At 53.8% G+C, this 21,406-nt stretch overlaps 1 protein-coding gene across 3 annotated transcripts in view, besides 2 other annotated features; it reads right to left on the reverse strand.

The window, feature by feature from the left end:
* ITGAE (integrin subunit alpha E) overlaps positions 1-21,406 on the reverse strand; it is an 86,561-nt gene that overhangs the window by 22,094 nt on the left and 43,061 nt on the right. For all 3 annotated transcript variants that reach the window (NM_001425071.1, NM_001425072.1, NM_002208.5), the window contains exons 9-20: positions 20,985-21,138; positions 20,263-20,413; positions 19,109-19,176; positions 18,396-18,540; positions 17,062-17,204; positions 16,569-16,709; positions 14,929-15,153; positions 13,631-13,761; positions 11,201-11,331; positions 9,043-9,206; positions 6,768-6,896; positions 3,084-3,157 (exon numbers count right to left, since the gene is read on the reverse strand). In NM_001425071.1, the coding sequence (NP_001412000.1) occupies positions 3,084-3,157; positions 6,768-6,896; positions 9,043-9,206; positions 11,201-11,331; positions 13,631-13,761; positions 14,929-15,153; positions 16,569-16,709; positions 17,062-17,204; positions 18,396-18,540; positions 19,109-19,176; positions 20,263-20,413; positions 20,985-21,138 (1,656 nt within the window). The remainder of the gene's footprint in view (positions 1-3,083; positions 3,158-6,767; positions 6,897-9,042; positions 9,207-11,200; positions 11,332-13,630; positions 13,762-14,928; positions 15,154-16,568; positions 16,710-17,061; positions 17,205-18,395; positions 18,541-19,108; positions 19,177-20,262; positions 20,414-20,984; positions 21,139-21,406) is intronic.
* Positions 1,074-1,368: an enhancer, noted in NCBI's record as "tiled region #669; K562 Activating DNase unmatched - State 8:EnhW". NCBI's record gives its function as "activates a minimal TATA promoter and a strong SV40 promoter by Sharpr-MPRA in K562 cells {active_cell/tissue: K562}" and the evidence as "EXISTENCE:reporter gene assay evidence [ECO:0000049][PMID:27701403]".
* Positions 18,420-19,123: an enhancer, noted in NCBI's record as "H3K27ac hESC enhancer chr17:3658435-3659138 (GRCh37/hg19 assembly coordinates)". NCBI's record gives its function as "activates a minimal SCP1, AML or CMV promoter by ChIP-STARR-seq in primed H9 embryonic stem cells {active_cell/tissue: H9 hESC(primed)}" and the evidence as "EXISTENCE:reporter gene assay evidence [ECO:0000049][PMID:30033119]".

Raw genomic sequence — 21,406 nt, forward strand, 5'->3', positions numbered from 1 at the left:
ATTAGCAATACCGAGAAAACTGTTTTCCATCTGAAATGTCCAAAGATGAGATGTGCAGATCTAGGAAGTATGGCCTCCCAAAGTGCTGGGATTACAGGCGTGAGCCACCACGCCCGGCCTAGGAAGTAATGTGAGGTGTGTTTTGTTCCCATTGTTTGGTTTTGGTTTGGTTTTTATCCCAGCTGAGAAGAGGCTGGATTGACTGGAGGGAGAGACAGGAAGCAGAGACAGAGCCTGCTGTCTCCACCCGAGAGATGATACATGCCTGAAATAAGGAAACAGTAGTGGATGCCTGGACACGGTGGCTCACGCCTGTAATCCCAGCACTTTGGGAGGTGAGGCAGGTGGATCACTTGAGGCCAAGAGTTCAAGACCAGCCTGGCCAACATGGTAAAACCCCGTCTCTACTAAAAATACAAAAATTAGCTGAGTGTGGTCACGTGCGCCTGTGATCCCAGCTACACAGGAGGCTGAGGCAGGAGAAGCACTTGAAGCCGGGAGGCGGAGGTTGCAGTGAGCCAAGATCGCGCCACTGCACTCCTGCCTGGGTGACAGAGTGAGACCCTGTCTCAAAAGAAGAAGAAGAAGAAAAAAGACAACAGTAGTGGAGAAGGAAAGAAGTCAGAGACAGTAAAGCAAATGAAACGAAAAAGAGGCAGGGGAGGGGGGACAGAGGAGTTAAGGGCAAGTTCTGAGTTTCTAGCTCAGGTGGCTGAGTGGTGCCGGTGGCTGAGTGGTGCCGGTGGCTGAGTGGTGCCATTGACTGAGGGAGGTAACATGGGAGGAAGACCCAAGGGTGGAAGAAGATGCGTTCAATCGGGGACATGACAAGAGGTGCATATAGGATAACAAAGCAGAGATGCTGACATGTCAGCTGGACACACATCTTAGAGCTCAGGCGTGAGACCTCAGTGTCATCAGAATATTAACAGCGTTGCCTAATCTGAGGCCTAGGGACCGTCTCAGAGGGCCCGGAATGCCAAAATTTATGTATGCACATGTGATCTTCTAAGGAGAGGGGTCTGTAGTCTTCATTAGATTCTTTTGGGGATCTATGTCCTCAGGTCAAAAACCACTGAGACAGCTGGACACCGACGACCAGGCTCACTAGCGTTTTTGAAAGAGAAGCGTTTGCTTGCTATGTACACTAGGGGGCGATGTAGGGCAAGCCATGCGTGCTGTATCTCTACTACCCCCAGTAGCTGGCTGGGAGGTTGGTTCTTGGCTGTAATTAATTCCCTGCTGGAAACAGCTGTGCCTGCTTGTTAGCCTGGATTCCAGAGCATTTGAAAGTCTTCAATTGGTCCTGCAAATGTCTATGAAAGGGCTGACCAGGACTTGGGGAACTGCGTTCTTCCCCATATACGGCAACTCCAGCCAGCTGGCCAACAGAATCACAATACATACACAACACTAGTCGCCAAGGACGCTTGTTTGTTTTGTTTTGTTACCCTCCCCCCCTCCCCGTTTTTGGAGTCTTGCTCTGTCACCCAGGCTGGAGTGCAGTGGAGCGATCTCGGCTCACTGCACCCTCCGCCTCCCGAGTTTGAGCGATTCTCCTGCCTCAGCCTGCCCAGTAGCTGTGATTACAGGCGCCCACCACCATGCCCAGCTAATTTTTGTATTTTTAGTAGAGACGGGGTTTTACCATGTTGACCAGGCTTGTCTCAAACTCCTGACCTCATGATCCGCCTACCTCTGCCTCCCAAAGTGCTGGGATTACAGGCATGAGCCACCGCGCCCGGCCTGGGGGGCATTCTAAGACCACTACATGTCTAAACCCACACTCATGTGCTTGGCAACACTGTCATTCTGGAATTCAGTGTGGTCCAATAGAACGTCTGCAGCGATGGAGACAGGCGGTATCTGCGCTGCCCAACACCACCAGCCACAGGCGGCCACTGAGTCTTTGAAGTGTGGCTAATGTGACTGAGGAACAAAATGTTTCATTGTGATTAATTTTAACTCATGTACATGTAAACAGCTAAGCGTGGCTGGTGTGTTGGACAGTGCAGTGCCGCATGCTGGGGCTGTGGCCCTCTTTCCTCCCTCCGCCTCCATTCTGTCAGCACGTGCTACGTATGAGCTGTCACTTTAAACTGTTACTCCCGTCATGGCCCAGCCCACACCGCCTCTCACCTGAGTGGTTACAAAGGGAGCAAGTGCCGCTTCTCTTCTCAGCTAAGCAGCAAGAAGGATCCTGCTAAGCTGCATGAGTGTGTCACTCCTCTGACTTCCCAGCTCACAGCAAAAGCCCTTCTGAGGGCTTAAGAAGCCCCATGGCCTCTTCCCCCTTCCTCCCCTTCCCTCATTACACCCCGCCCCACTCCACTGCAGCCACTAGCTCCTCACCCTGCCCCCCACCCACCAGGCAGGCTTCCAACCCAGGGTACCTGCAGCTGCTCTTCCCTTAGACACCCAACCACATAGCTCGTTCCCCTACCTCCTCCAGTGTGTGCCAAAGTGTCACCCTCCGTGACCACCCCATTGAAAACTTCAGCATCAGCTGCCACCCAACACTCCTTCCCACCTTCCCTGTGTCTTCAACGTTCATCTCATCAACATGGAATTTACCTACTTACCATCTTCTCCCCCTAAGAGCACCAGGAGGGCAGGGATTTTTGTCTGTGTTGTTCACAGAAGTATCCCCAGCACCTAGAGTGCTTGGCACAAAGTAGATGGTCCAGAAATATTTGATTGATTAGTTAATTTGGCCAAGAGGTGGGCCGGGAAAGAGGTTACCTCTAACTGAGGTAGAGGTCAGCCTGGCTGTGAAGAACGCTGGGTTCTGAATATAGCATTGTCCGGGATGTCAAGAGACCCAGGTTCAAGTCCACCAAATGGCCTATGCAGGGCCCTCGGCGACTGAGTCTGCTTCCTAATCTAGAAAGTGGGAAGACAGATCTCTGTCTTGCCTCCCTTCTGGGGTAGCTGAGGACATATTGAGATAATAAGTGCAGAAGCCATTTGTGGGCCACGGGGAGAGGGGAAGGGGATGTGCAGGGTGTCCTAATGAAGGAATTGCCCAGGCAAGCGTTCGGGAGAAGGTTAATCGAGGAAACTGACGGCTATGTCCAACTCACTGAGAGACGGTGGTGGCCAACTGTAATTCTGCGACACAAAACAGCTTATTCTTGCAGGCCTTCTCATAGGGCAGCTGTAACCAGACAGAGAGTCCCGATCAGCCCAGGCTCCGCCTTCCCCAGCAGCCCTGCCTCCGGCTCTTCTCCTTATAGGAAGTTTTGGGCTGTGCCTCCTGCTCACCCTGAGAAGTGCAGTTACAGGGAGGTGAGGGGTGCAGGCTGGGATTGTCCCCGAAGAGCAGGGACTGTGACATTCCTGGGTGACATTCCTGGATCTGTCCTATAACATGGGCACACTGTGACCCAGTCCTTTGACCAAGGTAAAAACTGGGGTGACCTTCACGGAATGTTAGGGGTGCCCATGACATTTACATCATGCGAATTCAGCAGCAACACACAGCTCACGACTTTGAGCATTCAGGGAGCAGACACCTACGCGAAGAGAAGCTTCCTTAGTCCTTTCGGATATAGGCAGAACAGCCCGGGCAGGAGTGGGGGATGCCTAGCCAAATATCGTCAAGGTCCAGGCCTTGGAGGTTCCTTCCTCATGGCTAGTCATCTGTTTTTTCGGTTGTTTGTTTGTTTGTTTTCAGATGGAGTCTCGCTCTGTCATCCAGGCTGGAGTGCAATGGCGCGATCTCGGCTCACTGCCATCTCTGCCTCCCGGATTCAAGCGATTCTCCTGCCTCAGCCTCCCAAGTAGCTGGGATTACAGGCATGTGCCACCACGCCTGGCTAACTTTGTATTTTTATTAGAGAAAGGGTTTCGCCATGTTGACCAGGTTGGTCTCAAACTCCTGACCTCAGGTCATCCACCCACCTTGGCCTTCCAAAGTGTTGGGATTACAGGTGTGAGCCACCGCGCCCGGCCTGGCTAGTCGTCTCTGTAAGCTAACTATTTCCCTTGCCTACACATAATCGACTAATTCTGAAAGCCACATTTCAAAAGGCCCCATGGAGGTTGAAAAGCTCCAGTTCGTGTTTTTAAAAATTCCAGTGTTCTAAAGTAGCTGGGTCTGTTTTTGTATTATGAAGGAAGGCAGCCAGCTCCTCGGCTGGAGAGCCTCTGCACTTCGCACTTCTCTCCCGGTGGCCACCTCGGCAGCTGTCTGCAGGTCTGTTCCCACGGCCTAGAGGGGGAATGACAGCCCAGGGCTTGAAAGGGAACTTTCTACTTCCTGCGGAAGGGGGATGCCATTTGCAGAAGTCAAAGCGTGGCGCTCTCTCTAAGTGGGTCAACAGTTTCATGCAGGGTTTTTTGTTGTATTTTTTTTTTTTTTTTTTTTTTTTTGAGACGGAGTCTCGCTCTGTCGCCCAGGCTGGAGTGCAGTGGCGCAATCTCCGCTCACTGCAAGCTCCGCCTCCCGGGTTCACGCCATTCTCCTGCCTCAGACTCCCGAGTAGCTGGGACTACAGCTGCCCGCCACCACGCCCAGCTAATTTTTTTTTTTTTTTTGTATTTTTAGTAGAGACGGGGTTTCACTGTGTTAGCCAGGATGGTCTCGATCTCCTGACCTCATGATCCGCCAGCCTCGGCCTCCCAAAGTGCTGGGATTACAGGCGTGAGCCCCCGCGCCCGGCCTTTTGTTGTATTTTTAATATAGCCACATAGCCTGATCTCTTCCACCCAGCCCCAGTGAAAGAGAATGGGGTTAAGCCATCTAAACTCCCAGCCAGAACGCACTCTCTGGTAACACCGATGTGCCTAATACCACGTGGTTTTTTCCTCACCCATTTTATACGGGGAATAACTTTTTAAAAATCTCTTTGCCATAGCATAATAGTCATCACTGGTTAAGGAAAGACACATAAAGAGATGTTAAGCAGGATACAATCGCAAGGCATCTCACCATAAAATGAGACGTGCTTATTAATGACACAGGCAAACAGCACTAGGAATGGACAAGTCCACATTAGGTGCCTCCTGAGATGGTGTACTGAGAAGGACACACTTTACTTCTGTGATATTCCTGACAAAAATGCATAACCTGGCCAGGCATGGTGGCTCACGTCTGTAATCCCAGCACTTTGGGAGGCCGAGGAGGGTAGATCACCTGAGGTCAGGTGTTCAAGACCAGCCTGGCCAACATAGTGAAACCCCGTCTCTACTAAAAGTACAAAAATTAGCCGAGCATGGTGATACATGCCTGTAATCCCAGCTACTCGGGAGGCTGAGGCAGGAGAATTGCTTGAACTTGGGAGGCAGAGGTTGCAGTGAGCCGAGATCACGCCATTGCACTCCAGCCTGGGCAACAAGGGCGAAACTCTGTCTCAAAAACAAAACAAAAATGTATAACCTGAATCTAATTATGAAGAAATATCAGACAAATTGAGGAACATTCTACAAAAGGACTGGCCTGTACCCTTCAAAAATGTTAATGTCATTAAAAGACAAGGGAAGACTGAGTGAGAAACCCTTCCAGATTAAAGGAGACTAAAGATAAATAACTGTAGAACGCTATGAATGATCCTGGACCAGAACCTTTTTTTTCTTTTGCTATAAAGGACATTAATAGGACAACTGGCAAAATTTGAATAAAGTTTGTAAATTAGATAATAGTATTTTATCAATGTGAATTTCCTGATTTTGATTATTGTACTATGTTAAGACAATGCCTTTGTTTTTAGGAAATATATATTGAAGGTTTGTGGTTTTTTTTTTTTTTTTGAGACGGAGTCTTTCTCTGTCACTCAGGCTGGAGTGCAGTGGCACGATCTCGGTTCACTGCAACCACTGTCTCCCGGGGTCAAGCAATTCTCCTGCCTCAGCCTCCTGAGTAGCTGGAACTACAGGCATGCACCACCACACTGGGCTAATCTTTGTATTTTTTAAAATTTATTTTATTTTTTATTTTTTTGAGATGGAGTCTCGCTCTGTTGCCTAGGCTGGAGTGCAATGGCACGGCCTTGGCTCACTGGAACCTCTGCCTCCTGGGCAAAGGATTCAAATGATTCTCCTGCCTCAGCCTCCCTAGTAGCTGGGACTACAGGCCCATGCCACCACACCCGGCCAATTTTTGTATTTTTAGTAGAGACAGGGTTTCACCATCTTGGCCAGGCTGGTATCGAACTCCTGACCTCAGGTGATCCACCTGCCTCAACCTCCCAAAGTGTTGGGATTACAGGCATCAGCCAGGGCGCCCGGCTGACAAAAGTTTCTTATGACACTACCCGCCTGTCTAAGCTGCACTGATGGGCACCAGGAGGAGAGGCTAGGATACAGGTTTGGTGGGGCCATTCAGCCTGAAGGCCCTGGCAGGGCATGAACAGGCAGGTGTGCCAAAGGGCATCCTCTCTGCAGTGCAAGACACGACAGCTCCAGTCTAGCTCCCACAAGGAACCCCCATCACAGCGTCATCAGAGCCGCTTGCCAAGTGAGGTCCCCAGGATGCAATGTATGCATGTGCCTCATGAAAGATGTAGCAAGTGCTTTTGTGAACATAAAGACATAAAGGAACAAGCCCCAGGGGCAGATGGAGACCTGCGTTACCCATGAGTCCTCACTCACGGGGACACATTAACACCATCTCAGGGACTCAGTTTCACCATGAGTACGGTGAGGGGCCCAAATGCCGTCTGAAGACATTGCCTCCCAACTCCACCATTCTTGGAAGTTAGGGGAGCAGGTGGTTTCTGTGGGATAGGCTCTTAAGAGGGCTGGGTACTGGCTGTGGGTAGAGTCACCTGGAAGATGGCAAAGGGCTCAGTGTAGCGGTCCAGGATGGGCTGGGGATGGTCCGTCTGTCCCTCAGGGGTCTGGAGCTGGTAGCTGACTTTGACACTGGCATTGGAGAAGCAGTCCTCCTCACAGAGCTGTGGGGTCACCACGGAAGGCAGGGTTAGAGTTGGATGTGGGGGAGAAGATGACAACAATAATGCTTTTTTTCTTTTTCTTTTTTTCTTTTTTTTTTTTTTTGAGATGGAGTCTTGCTCTGTTGCCCAGGCTGGAGTGCAGTGGCGTGATCTCGGCTCACTGCAACCTCCGCCTCCCGGGTTCAAGCGATTCTCCTACCTCAGCCGCCCGAGTAGCTGGGATGACAGGTGTGTGCTACCACGCCTGGCTAATTTTTGTATTTTTAGTAGAGACAGGGTTTCGCCATGTTGGTCAGGCTGGTCTCGAACTCCTGACCTCAAGTGATCCACCCGCCTCAGCCTCCCAAAATGCTGGGATTATAGGCGTAAGCCACCGCGCCCGGCCTCTTTTCTTTTTTTTTTTTTTTAAGATAAGGTCTCACTCACTCTGTCACCCAGTCTGGAGGGCAGCAGCACCATGATGGCTCACTGCAGCCTCAACCACCTGGGCTCAAGCAATTCACCCACCTTGGCCTCCCAAAGTGCTGGGATTTCCAAATATGAGCCACCGCACCTTGCAAGAATACTTTCTACTTTGATGTCATCATAAGAAGAAATAAACAATAAAAGTGGTGAGTCAGAAGTCCTAAGCATCTTCCAAATAAGCCAGGCTGAAGGGACACGTCCTTCAAGCAAGCTGCCAAGTGCTTTGGGAAAAATCTCCTTCATTCTACTACGGTTTTGTGTCTATAGCTGCTATGGTTCTTATCCCAGTCACAAAGGGGTAAAGAACTGGCTCAGACAGAAGGGAAGAGTCACAGCCACACCTGGGTTTATCAAGTTCTTTCTCTTTTTTTTTTTTTTTTTTGAGATGGAGTCTCGCTCTGTCGCCCAGGCTGGAGTGCAGTGGCTCGATCTTGGCTCTCTGCAACCTCTGCCTCTTAGGTTCAAGGTTCTCCTGCCTCAGTCTCCCAAGTAGCTGGGACTACAGGTGCATGCCACCACGCCTGGCTAATTTTTGTATTTTTTTTTAGTAGAGACAGGGTTTTACCACATTGGTCAGGCCGGTCTCGAACTCCTGACTTCAGGTGATCCTCCCACCTCGGCCTCCCAAAGTGCTGGGATTAGAGGCGTGAGCCACTGCGCCCAACCAACCAAGATCTTTCTCAAAGCAACATGGAGGACATATTAGAGAGGTAAGAGAGAAGATAAGGAGATTGCTTAGCATACCATTTGCCACTCTCTTTGTTTAAATAAGCCTTTCTGCCCCTATAAGAGCCTCAAGCCCATGGGAGAAAGTGAGCATGATTCTCTGGTAGAGAATGTGATTAAGCCTTTATTTAAGGAAGGCTGTAGACTTTAATCCAATTAACAATCACTTTGGGGGTAAATGTGTATTCAGAAGAAGAATTCATGCATTTGTTTATTGGAATAAACGATCCATATAGATCCAAAGTTCGAGATCCTGTCAGGGTTTGAGTCCCGACATACTTTTTTTACCCCATGTCTCTGGGCACCTTTGCCAGGAGTAAACCTTTCTAGATGGTCGTTTCTATCTTTTTATTCTTCCTTTTAGTTGTTCACTTTTTTGATGCCAACTGACATTCAGGCCCTCGGTCCTAGTTATTATCAGGTGAGGTCTGATAACGCATGCCAAGAACACTGGCATTCCTGAGTTATTACCAAGAAAAACGTCAGCAATGACAGCATCTCCATCTTCCGTGCCATTACGTGGTTCTTGATTTATTATTATTATTATTTTGAGATGGAGTCTTGCTCTTGTTGGCCAGGCTGGAGTACAGTGGCATGATTTCGGCTCACTGCAACCTCCCTCCCCTGGATTCCAGCGATTCTCCTGCCTCAGCCTCCCGAGTAGCTGGGATTACAGGCACCCGCCATCACGCCCGGCTAATTTTTGTGTTTTTAGTGGAGACAGGGTTTCACCGTGTTGGCCCGGCTGGTCTCGAACTCCTGACCTCAAGTGATCCCCCCGCCTTGGCCTCCCAAAGTGCTGGGATGACAGGCGTGAGCCACCGTGCCTGGCCTGTTATGATTATTTTAATCACCTCATTTGTAGGTCTGGGTATGTGCCCTTCACTGCATCACCTCAAATCCTTTCTCAATGACAAAGACCCCTCCTGACTCCCATCCAAACTCCGTCACTTACCTCTCCCTCTGTGGGCATGAGCAGGAGGTCCTCACAAAGCTGGGATCCGCTGCTCCACTCCCTCAGGCAGCCCAGACAGCTTCTTACGTCTGAACACTGCAGCCGTCTCCTCTGCTTCCCCACATCCACATCCAGCGTGAAGTTGAGAAGTGCCTCGCGGAGGCCTGGGAATGAAGACCAGACCTTCCCGATGAGGTGGGGATGAGCCAGCCGCAGACAGAAGGCCCCCAGCCTGCCTGAGGTTCCTTGTGGCCCCTCCTGAACAGTGTCCCCATGCAGGTACTTCCCTGCGGCTGGACTCCTGCGTCGGTTTTTCAAAGATATTTTTCTCACCGTCTTCTGACACCTGACCAGGGTCTCTGAGTGCTCCCGCCCCAAACCCGGAGCAGCACATTCCCAGGACTGAGTCAGCCTTCTTTAGGGAAGGAGGGCTCGGGAAGGGGATCGAGATTGAAGAAGAAAATAAGGAGGAAGAGAGACAACAAAGAGAATGGAGAGGGAAAGAGGGACTCTGCGGAGAAAAACCCCAGGACGGCACAGCTGGAAGCACCGTGGAGATCCCGGGGCCGCCTCTCTTACTGTACAGAACAGAACCAGCTCAGCTAGGGAGAGACACTTGCCCAGCATCGCACAGCCCATCGAGCTCTGTGTCCTGGAAGGGACAGGTCTGTTATTTTCTTTTTTTTTTCTTTTTTCTTTTTTTTTTTCCTTTGAGACAGAGTCTCGCTGTCACCCAGGCTGGAGTGCAGCGGCGCGATCTTGGCTCACTGCAAGCTCCGCCTCCCGGGTTCACACCATTCTCCTGCCTCAGCCTCCCCCGTAGCTGGGACTACAGGCGCCCGCCACCACACCTGGCTAATTTTTTGTATTTTGTTTAGTGGAGACGGCGTTTCACCATGTTAGCCAGGATGGTCTCGATCTCCTGACCTTGTGATCCACCCGCCTCGGCCTCCCAAAGTGCTGGGACTACAGGCATCTGTCACCACACCTGGCTAATTTTTGTATTTTTAGTAGAGACGGGGTTTCACCGTGTTAGCCAGGATGGTCTCGATCTCCTGACCTCGTGATCTGCCCACCTCGGCCTCCCAAAGTGCTGGGATTACAGGCGTGAGCTACCACACCCGGCCAGGTCTGTCATTTTCAATCCCCAGGTGGATAATAGCCTGCTGCTTTGGGAAAGCCACCCCACCCCAGGAGACTGCTCTCTGACTGTGGGAGGCAGAGACCATCTCAGAGATTGCTCCTGAGAGATTAAACCTCGGGGACTGTTGCTGAGGAATCGTTCCAGGGGGGAGCTCTTGGATGAGCAGTAAATACCTGGGCTGTGAAAGCCATGCCCACCACCTCCTTTCTGGGAACAGTCTCCTAATGAGTTTCAGGTAAGGAAAGAGAAACCAGGCCTCCAACAGGTGATCCAATCCCACCTGGGCCGGAGGCACATAGTGAGGAGGGAAGGGGAGAAGACACAAGTCAGAGAGAAAGAGGAGGGTGTGTCTCAGAAGCCCCCGCACACACGCACACACGTGGGCATGGAGAAATGGCTGCCTTTTTCTGAGTCTTTTTTTTTTTTCTGAGACGGAGTCTCGCTCTGTCACCCAGCGTGGAGTGCAGTGGTGCGATCTCAGCTCACTGCAAGCTCCGTCTCCTGGGTTCATGCTATTCTCCTGCCTCAGCCTCCCGAGTAGCTGGGATTACAGGCACCTGCCCGGCTAATTTTTTGTATTTTTAGTAGAGACGGTGTTTCACCATGTTAGGCAGGATGGTCTCGATCTCCTGACCGCGTGATCTGCCCGCCTTGGCCTCCCAAAGTGCTGGGATTACAGGCGTGAGCCACCGCGCCCGGCCTTCTGAGTCTTTTTTTTCAGAAACTCAACCCTTCAACCCTGAGGAAGGGCCCCAGTGTCCCTCTTCCCAACAGTGTCAGCTCTAAACCCCTTCTGAGTGTGGACATAACCTCAGACCACCCTTTCTTGAGGCAGTTTGCATTTAACAAACCTGGAGACTAAGGAGCTAAGCTCTAATCGAGGGATTTCAAGCACCAGGACCTCAGACCAACACCCACCCACCCCCCGCCCCAGTCCTCTTTCCCTGCCCCTTACAGAAGCCAAAAAGGAAAGACCATCACACCAGGCAGGGGTCAGCTGGACCATTTTTTTACCTGACTCAGAGGCTGTGGTTACAGAGCTGATTTCAAAACATAAACGGACATTCACGACGCCGTTGAAGCCGATGGGCAGTGCGCTGGGGGTGAAGGCCATGGAGACCTTCAGGCGAACCACAGGCCGGGAGCTAAACAAGACAGCAAAGAGGATGGGAGAAGTGACTGCTCAGCCTCTGGGTCAGGGCCTGGCTGATTGGTTCATGCATTCAATGGTTCTCTATCAAACATGCCCACATCCAGGTGATCCCTGAGTCTCAGGGTACAGTGGGGAAAGAGACAAGTTTCTGCTTTGGTGGGAAAGCAGACAACAAGCAAATAAACGAGAGAAACAGGGAGATACTATGTATTGGCAAGGCTATGAGAAAAATTAAAATACTGTTGGCCGAGTGCGGTGGCTCACGCCTGTAATCCCAGCACTTGGGAGGCCGAGGCGGGAGGATCACCTGAGGTCAGGGGTTCGAGACCAGCCTGGCCAACTTGGTGAAACATCGTCTCTACTAAAAAACTCAAAAATTAGCTGGGTGTGGTGGCGGGCGCCTGTAATCCCACCTACTTGGGAGGCTGAGGCAGGAGAATTGCTTAAACCTGGGAGGCGGAGGTTGCAGTGAGCCGACATCCTGCCACGGCACTCCAGCCTGGGTGACAGAGCAAGACTCCATCTCAACAACAACAACAAAAATACGGTAATAAGGACCGAGGGCTACTGAGACTGGGTGGTCACAGATGGCGTGGCTGATGAGGAGGCATTTCGGTTGAGATTTGTTAACAAGAAAGAGCCAGCTGTGTGAGGATCTGGGGAAGAGCACTCCAGGAAGAAAGCACAGCCAGTGCCAAGGGCCTGTGGCAGGAACACTTTTGGTTTGTTTGAGGAGCACAAAGGTCAGCATGCCTGGAATCTAATTAGTGAGACAGAGGATGGGAGGAGGAGATGGGAATGGAGGGGCGGGAAGGGCCAGGCCACGAAGAGCCCTGTAAAGCCATGGTGAGGAATTGGGATTTTACTCTAAATAGGAGCCGTGGAGGAGTTTCAGGCAGCAGAGTGAAGGGATAGGGCTGCTGCTGTGTGGAGAATGGAGCGCAGGGGCTGGAAGCAGGAAAGGCTGTGGCAGCAGTGTCCAGGGAGTGAAGACAGTGCCTGCACTGGTCTGGAGGCAGAGCCAACTAAGACTTGTTGATGTGGTGGAGAGGAAGGAAAAGAGGCATCAAAGATGACGCCTACGTTTTCATCCTGAATTGCTGGGTGGATGATGATGCCATTTGCTGAGACAGAAAGCCTGAGGGCAGGATAGATTTGGGGGAATGAAGGGTGGGGGGAGATAAAAGCTCTGTTTTTCTTTTTTTTTTTTTGGAGACGGAGTCTCGCTCTGTCGCCCAGGCTGGAGTGCAGTGGCGCGATCTCCGCTCACTGCAAGCTCCGCCTCCCGGGTTCACCATTCTCCTGCCTCAGCCTCCCGAGTCGCTGGGACTATAGGCGCCCGCCACCATGCCCGGCTAATTTTTTGTATTTTTAGTAGAGATGAGGTTTCACCGTGTTAGCCAGGATGGTCTCCATCTCCTGACCTTGTGATCCACCCGCCTGGGCCTCCCAAAGTGCTGGGATTACAGGTGTGAGCCACTGCGCCCAGCAAAAGCTCTGTTTTTAGACGTGTTCACTTCGGGATGACTGTGAGCAGCAGCTCAGGGAGGTGCTGGGTAGACAGCAAGTCTGCAGCTTGGAGAGGACGGGACAGACGGGCGCTCCATGAGCTCATTTACAGCCACGGGACTTGATCATTCACTGAGGGATGGGGCACAAAAACTCTGCAATTCTTGGCCAGGCATAGTGGCTCATGCCTGTAATCCCAGCACTTTGGGAAGCCAAGATGGGTGGATCACGAGGTCAGGAGTTCAAGACCAGCCTGGCCAACATGGTGAAACCCTGTCTCTACTAAAAATACAAAAATTAGCCGGGCGTGGTGGCAGACACCTGTAATCCCAGCTCCTCAGGAGGCTGAGGCAGAAGAATTGCTTGAACCTGGGAGGCGGAGGTTGCAGTGAACCAAGATTACACCACTGCACTCCAGCCTGGGCAAAAGAGGAAGACTCCGCCTCAGAAAAAAAACAAAAAACAAAAAACTCTGCAATCACAGCCATCGCTGAGCACTGTGCTAAATACTTTGTATATATTCGCTTGCATGATCCTCATAGCTCTGGGAGGTAGGTGCTCTTATAATTCCTAGGTAAGGTCTTAGAGTTAAATAACCTGCCCAAAGGCTGAGAGGGCTGAGAGCTGAGGTTCAAACCCAGACGGGCAGACTCCAGAGCCTGTGCCCACAACCACGGTGCTGGCTCCCTCCCTCAGTGCCTAATGTCTGCATGGAGCTATTTAGAGCAGGGCAAATGGGTGAGGCTGGGCCTGGGACCCCAGAAAGCAGGACAGAACCCTACCGGAACACAACCGCCTGGCCCAGAGTGCCCACGGTGATGTCGGCAAGGCCGTCGCCACTAATATCAAAGCCACCAGCCATGGACATGCCGAAGTACTGGAGTCCTGGGGCCACCGTGGAGGCTCTGATCCGCTGTGGAGGCAGAAACACAAGGCGTGGGGCGAGGGAAGGGAGGGAAACGGGGCGGGGAGTCCTTTCATGATCTATCCCGATCAGCATCGCAGGCACCATCCAGCCCCAGGGAGCCCCGAGTCTAGAACCAGGAAAGAGGGAGCAAGCTTTCCCAGAGGAAGTGGCATTTGGATGGAGCCTCGAAGGGCAGGTGGGACTTGACAGGGGAGAGTAAGGGAAAGAGTGAGGCATGGGGAAAGAGCAGGGCCTTCTGAGAAGCAGCCAGGGCCAGGGACGGGGTGGACCACAGGGGATTGGGGTACAAGGAGGCTTGATGTGGGGCTTGGGGATGGGGGGTGTCAACAAAGGTTCTGTTGTTTTGAAGTGACATAATCAGGATAACACTTTAGAAATGGCACTGAAGACATGGGGTGGAAGATGGAGAGGAGGAGGAAGCTGGGTGGGCTGGGAGTGGGATGGCAAGGCCTGAGCTGGGACCGCAGGGGTGGGGATAGAGAGAAGGGGCTGGAGTTGGGAGACAGCTAGAATCATGAGGACGTGGGAACTGACAGGCTGTGCAGGCTGTGAGCGTGCTGAGGACTGTCTGAGGTTTCCGGTGTGGGGTGTGGAGGGGGATGAGGTCTCAGAGGAGCATCAGTTCTAGGGGAAGCAGGTGCTCTCAGATGGGCCGTGTGGGAGTGAGATGCCTGGGGGCCATCCAGGTGGAGGTGCTCATGAGGAGCTGGAGGTGGGTGGAAGTGCCTGTTAATACATGCAGTGTGAGAGGCTGGCAAGGGAGCCCTGGGGAATGAGAGATAAGGCGCGGAGGTGCTGGGTGGGAGACAGGAGCGAGGGACAGAAAGAGAGGAAGCAGGGACCCGAGGCAGGTGGGTGGAAGGAGGGGGTATAGGCCAGGGAAGGAGACAGGTACCGCCACAACCTCCCCTGAACCTGAAGGGGCCGAGGTGAAGCCCTGGTCTGGAACCTCCCCCCAACCTGAAGGGGCTGAGGTGAGGCCCTGGTCTGGAAGCTCCCCCTAGCCTGGGGGACTTCTTTCTTTCACTGGGCATTCCCAACCCCCGAGACCTGCCCAGCACTTAGGACTGAAGCCGACTTGGGGCTTGGGTCATCATATCTGAGAGAGGTCAGAGCCCCAGAGGAGAGGAAGGAGAGGGCCCCATGGGTCACCTGCGAGGGGCTGGCGGAGAGGCCGTCCCAGTGTCCATTGTAGATATACACACTGCCGAAGCTGGCACCATCATCTGCCCCAAAACCTTCCAGGGGGGCCCCGATGGCCACATCTGTGAGCTTATCCTGACTGAGATCCCCCATAGCCGCCATGGCAAAGCCAAAGCGGGCATTGGTGAACCCGGGGTGCCCACTCAGTATGCGTGCCAAGGAGAAAGAACCATCCTGTAAAGCAAACAAACAGCTCAGCCCTCAAGAAGGGGTGCTAGGTGCCCACTCCATTGCCACCCCGATGCACGCTCACTGGGCCGGTGGGTGCCCACTCCATTGCCACCCAGGATGCACGCTCGCTGGGCCGGTGGGTTCCCACTCCATTGCCACCCAGGATGCACGCTCACTGGGCCGGTGGGTGCCCACTCCGTTGCCACCCAGGATGCACGCTCGCTGGGCTGGTGGGTGCCCACTCCGTTGCCACCCAGGATGCACGCTCACTGGCCAGGGACCTTCCCAAGGCCATACAGTGAGCACCAGGGGAAAGCTGGGGTCCTCCTACCTGGAAGTTCAGGAGTCAGAGCCCGCCCCCCTCTAGTTCCATGGGCAGGGGTGCATTGCTGCAAATGGGAGGCCTGGGTTTCACTCGTGGCTCTGCCACACACATGCCAGGTACACTTGAGCAAGTCTCGGCATCACTGAGGCTCGCCGAGCCCCAGCTTCCTCACCCGTAAGATGAGAGTGGCAGCTACCTCCCATAGTTACTATGAGAAACAAGTGAGATCCTGGACTAAACGGGCTTTGCCAACCATGCAGCTGTAAGAGATGTTATCAGCTGGGCGCGGTGACTCACGCCCATAATCTCATCACTTTGGGAGGCCAAGGTAGGTGGATCACCTGAGGTCAGGAGTTCGAGACCAGCCTGGTTAACATGGCGGAACCCCATCTCTACTAAAATTACAAAAATTAGCCGGGTGTAGTGGCACATGCCTGTAATCCCAGCTACTTGGGAGGCTGAGGCAGGAGAATCAACCCAGGAGGTAGAGGTTGCAGTAAGTTGAGATTGCACCATTGCACTCCAGCCTGGACAACAGAGTGAGACTCAGTCTCGGAAAAAAAAAAAAAAATGCTGGGCGAGGTGGCTTACGCCTGTAATCCCAACACTTTGGGAGGCCGAGGTGGGTGGATCACCTGAGGTCGGGAGTTCAAGACCAGCCTGACCAACATGGAGAAACCCTGTCTCTACCAAAAATATAAAATTAGCCGGGTGTGTGGCCCATGCCTGTAATCCCAGCTACTTGGTAGGCTGAGGCAGGAGAATTGCTTGAACCCCGGAGGCAGAGGTTGCGGTGAGCCAAGATCCTGCCATTGCATTGCAGCCTGGGCAACGAGAGCAAAACTCCATCTCAAAAACAACAACCACAAAAAAAGAGATATTAGAGATATTATCATCAACGATCACCCTTGGGTAAGAAAGTGGGTGCGGAGAGCGATGCCGCTGCCCCGCCCAGCCGCCATCCAGCCTGAGCACCTCCCCATCACTGCCCACTGGTGCCAGGCAGGGCCAGGGCACTCCCAGCCTCCATCACCTCTGTGTCAGGCTGAGTGCCACAGCCTCAGCAAGCTCATGAAGATGGAGACTCTCCCACCTGCTCGCTGAGACGGTACACGTAGACTCTGCCTTCTTCTCCATGAACGTGGTAAAATGGAGCAGCCACCAGCAAGAAGTCCGTGCTTCCATCCATGTCAATGTCCACAGGGCACAGCTCAGAGCCAAAATAGGACCCCATCTACAGCCCGGGAGGAACTCAGCTCACCAGGAGCCCCGCTCCTGCACCCCTCAGCAAGGCTACACCCCTGCCCGCGTGCTTCCTGGACCACCCAATTTGGGTCGTTACATATCAATTTGCTCACTGAGAGTAACAGAAGAGTGGAGGAGCAGCCCAGGCCCCACAGCGGAGGAAACTGCCTAGCAATCAGACATGCAGAGCTGAAGCAGAGCCCTCGAGCTCCACTCAGGAGCCTGAGTTTCACCCAGCCCGGGCCCTGGCCCACTGTGCACCGTGGGACCCACTCCTTTCCCTTGGGGGCCTCCAGATTCCCCATCGGTCATAAGGGGTGGAGGCTTTCCCCAGCAGGTACCTGCTCTCCCTCCAGCACTGGCAGGAAGCTGGCCTCTCTGCCCTCCTTCTGGAGCTCAAACACGGCCCCATGATGTTTGTACCGTGGAGCCCCCGCGATGTAGGAGAGGCTGCAGGTCTTGTGCAGCACGGCCACAGCGTAACCTGGGGCAAGGGTGGTGTGGCTGTGAACACACCGTGTGCTCCCACCTGGCCTCTCTCTTGGCCCCGGCACCTTCCCAGTCAGGCCTTCAAAGTGGCCTGGGGAGGGGGGCAAAATAGGAGAGACTGTCTTTCTCACTATGTTAAAAATCGGCATCAGCGAGCACTCTCACTTTGCCAGTCACACACATCCCCATCACACAGATATGATGCACACGCTGTCTGTCACGTATGCAGCTTTGCTCGAAATACTCGTTCGCACACATTCACTACCCACGCTCCCACACACACCCTAGGAGGACGGAGAAGAGGGGTGAGAGGACGCCCACCACTATTATTATTTTTATTTATTTATTTATTTATTTTTGAGACAGAGTCTCAGTCTGTCGCCCACGCTGGAGTGCAGTGGCACAGTCTTGGCTCATTGCAACCTCCCCCTCCCGGGTTCAAGCGATTCTTGTGCCTCAGCCTTCCGAGTACGTGGGACTACAGGCATCCGCCACCACGCCTAGCTAATTTTTGTATTTTTAGTAGAGACAGGGTTTTGCCATGTTGGCCGGGCTGGTCTCCAGACCTCAGATGATCCGCCCGCATCGGCCTCCTGGGATTACAGGCGTGAGCTACTGCACCACTATTATTAATGGAGAGGCCCCGCCCTCCCCTGGGTGGCTGCTGTGCCTGGTGTGTACCTGACAGGCCTTGTACCTACCCAGGAGGCTGTAGTACTCAGCCTCACGGTCCCTAACCAGGACCCGCCCCTCGGCCCATGTGACTGACCAGGTCCCGCCCCCATCCGGAAACCTCAAGTGCAGCCTAATGCGCAGCCTCGGTGTCCCCATCTCGGCCCCGCCCTCGCCCAGGTGGCCTCTAGGCCCCGCCCTCACCCAGGTGGTCTCCAGGCCCCACCCTCCTCACGTAACTTCCAGGCCCCGCCCTCTCCCAGGTAGCCCCCAGGCCCCACCCTCGCCCACGTGGCCTCCATGCCCCGCCCTCACCCAGGTAGCCCCCAGGCCCCACCCTCGCCCAGGTAGCCTCCAGGCCCCGCCCTCACCCAGGTAGCCCCCAGGCCCCACCCTCGCCCAGGTAGGCCCCGCCCTCGCCCACGTAGCCCTCAGGCCCCACCCTCGCCCAGGGAGCCTCCAGGCCCCGCCCTCATCAGGTGGCCCCGCCCTCATCAGGTGGCCCCGCCCTCACCCAGGTAGCTGTACTGCGCAGCCTCCGCGTCTGCCGCCGCCGCCGCTGTCTGGTTCAGGAAGCGGCCCCGGCGGCTGCGTGTGTCGTAGAGCAACGCCCCTCCGGACCAGTCAAAGGCCCCGACGGCGCCGAGCAGCACCTGCCGCTGAAGGGGACGGGGATGGGGCCCAGATGAGTGGGAGGGACCCAAGGCCGGGCCACGGTGGCCGCGGGTCTCCGGGCCAGCGCGGCTAACCTGGCTGGGAGCAGGGGGGCGTTCGGTGGTCTAGTGCCCGCCTGGCCAGAGATGCAGGCGGGAAGGTGAGATGGCCAACACTGGGCTCCTGCCTCGTGCCCTTGCACTCCCTCCTCCGGGAGAAGCAAGCAGCTTGGTTGATAAGCTGACCCAGGCCGAGTCCTGTTGCCTGGTCTGTATTCAGGGGAACAACTGGATGTTTGAGCACACAGAAAAAAGCGACCTCCTGTCATCAATATGGCCACCCTTTTGTTGCAGTGAGCCGAGACTGCACCGCTGCACTCCAGACTGGGCGACAGAGCAAGACTCCGTCTCAAAATAAATAAATAAATTAATTAATTAAAATAAAATCGCTCTTTTACAGGAATCACCACAGGTAGGGCAGAGCCCTGGATGGGAGGCAGGAGTCCCTGAATCCTAGGTGTCCTGGGCCCCTCACCAATGGGCAAGCCTGCCTGGTGCTGAGTCAGCCACGTACCTCATCCAGGATCTGAGCACTGAAGCCAATCTGTGCCAGCTGGTAGTGAAGGGCGTCTCCAACCGTGCCTGCAAGCCAAGAAGCCCAGTGAGACTGCTGTGGGCCGAGGTGAAGGGAGAAACTGAGTCAGGGGACAGTCCAGCTTGGCCTCACTCCCAGAAGGAACCATGCTTGGTGTAACAGGAAGAGAACCCGGCTGAGGGTAGAGACCCAGGTTCTCCTTGAGCAACTACTATCTGGGCAGTTCACTCTTTCTAGGCCTCAGTTTCCTCGTCTGTGAGCTCCTGGGAGAAGGGACTATGCCCCAGCCATCCTTGTTTCTCCAGCACCAGCTCAGTTCATCAGAGCTTCATGGAGATTCTGGGACGCAAGGAGGCCTGGGGATATTGTTGGCCTTTTTTTTTTTTTTTTTTTTTTTTTTTGAGACAGTGTCTCACTCTGTTGCTCAGGCTGGAGTGCCATGGCTCAATATCAGCTCACTGCAACTTGTGCCTCCCAAGGTCAAGTGACCTGGTGCCTTAGCTTCCCAAGTAGCTGGGAATAGAGGTCATGCGCCACCACGCCTGGCTAATTTTTTTTTTTTTTTTTTTGAGATGGAGCCTCGCTCTGTCACCCATCCTGGAGTGCAGTGGCGCGATCTTGGCTCACTGCAACCTCTGCCTCCTGGGTTCGAGTGATTCTTCTGTCTCGGGCTCCTGAGTAGCTGGGATCACAGGCATGCACCACCACGCCTGGCTACATTTTTTTGTATTTTTAGTAGAAACAGGATTTCACCATGTTGGCCAGGCTGGTCTTGAACTCCAGACCTCAGGTGATCCACCGGCCTTGGCCTCCCAGAGTGTTGGGATTATGGGCGTGAGCCACCACACCTGGCCCCAGCTACTTTTTGTTTTAGTAGAGATGGGGTTTTGCCATGTTGCCCAGGCGGGTCTCAAACTCCTGGCCTCAAGCAATCCACCTGCCTCTGTCTCCCAAAGTGTTGGGATAACAGGCATGAGCCACCACACCCGGCCATTGCCTTTTTAGACATGGAAGAGCTGAGGTTCAGGGAGATGATGGGAGTTGCTCAGAGAAACCACATGAAGATGGGACAGAGGCCGGGCTGGAGCATAGGCTCGGGCCTCCTGCGGTGGCCTGGGTCCCGGAGCCCTCACCTTCCATGCTGATGATGTTGTACCGCAGTTTGCTCAGCAGCCCATCCAGCGCCATGTAGTTGGTCACCTTGAAAGCATGGGTCTCATCCGGGTCTGAGGCGATCAGGTTCAGTTCCCTCGCAGTCCTAGCACTCTTAAATTCTTCTCCCACCTGCACAGACAGCCTGGGTCAGCGAGTCAGCGCTGCGTGGATTCCCCAGGCCCAGGGAGAGAGCTGAGCCCCTCCATCTGGCCTCTGGGGCCCTCCATTACCTGTCTCCTTCCTTCCTTTCTCCTCCTTTCCCTGCTCCCTGTTCTACCCATACTCTGGGCAAAATTCCAGTTTTACCAAAGTACACCTGTTCTCCTGAATACACCAAGCTCCTCCTCACCTCTGCACATGCTGTTCCCTCTGCCTGCAGGGCCCCTCTCTGCCTCCCCTGTGCCCTAGGCCAGCTACTCCCATTTGTCTGGCAGGACTCAGCTTGGCACCGCGGTCCTCCAGGAACCCTCCTTGGTGTGTTTCCTGTGGCTCTCCCACCACTATTTGGCCAGTAAGCTGTGACCACCATGGGGAAATGAGCCCTCTCTGGGATGACAGAGCATGGAGAGAAGAGGAGCATTTGCAAATAGAACAGGGTCTGGATAAGCTGCTTACAGAAAAGCCCCCATCGACAACCCTGGCTTCTCCCCACCCCAGGCTGTGCAGGTTCAGGAGGTGTCTCCCGGCTCCTGGCTCTTACCCCAATGGCAAAGCGCTCAACACCCTGCATTTTGGGGGAGTTGATGACTGTCGTAAGGTTGAGGGGGTCCTCGAATATGCCACCATCGGTGAGCACCACCATGACCTTGGATGCCTTTCTCCTGGAGCCGTGGCTTGAGGTGAAGATGCTGTCTCTAAGCAGGGGAGAGTAAATGAAGAAGAGAGCTTTGCCAGAAGGATGACCGAGCTCCAGGAGAGACTTTATTCTCTGACCTGTATTAGAATTGGGAGGGTTCACAATCCTCCCGAAAGACCCAGAGAAGGGGGTGATGCCCCCTTAAGTCACGCAGCGAGGCTGGGCAGAGGGAGGGCTGCAACACAGGTGTTCTTGCTTCTCACCTGCTCCCAGCAGGAAGGTACTGCCTGGCAGTCCATTCCTCTTGTGTGCGTACAGGAAGACTC

Source organism: Homo sapiens, chromosome 17 (assembly GCF_000001405.40).
Source record: "Homo sapiens chromosome 17, GRCh38.p14 Primary Assembly".
In the NCBI taxonomy this organism is placed as follows: domain Eukaryota; kingdom Metazoa; phylum Chordata; class Mammalia; order Primates; family Hominidae; genus Homo; species Homo sapiens.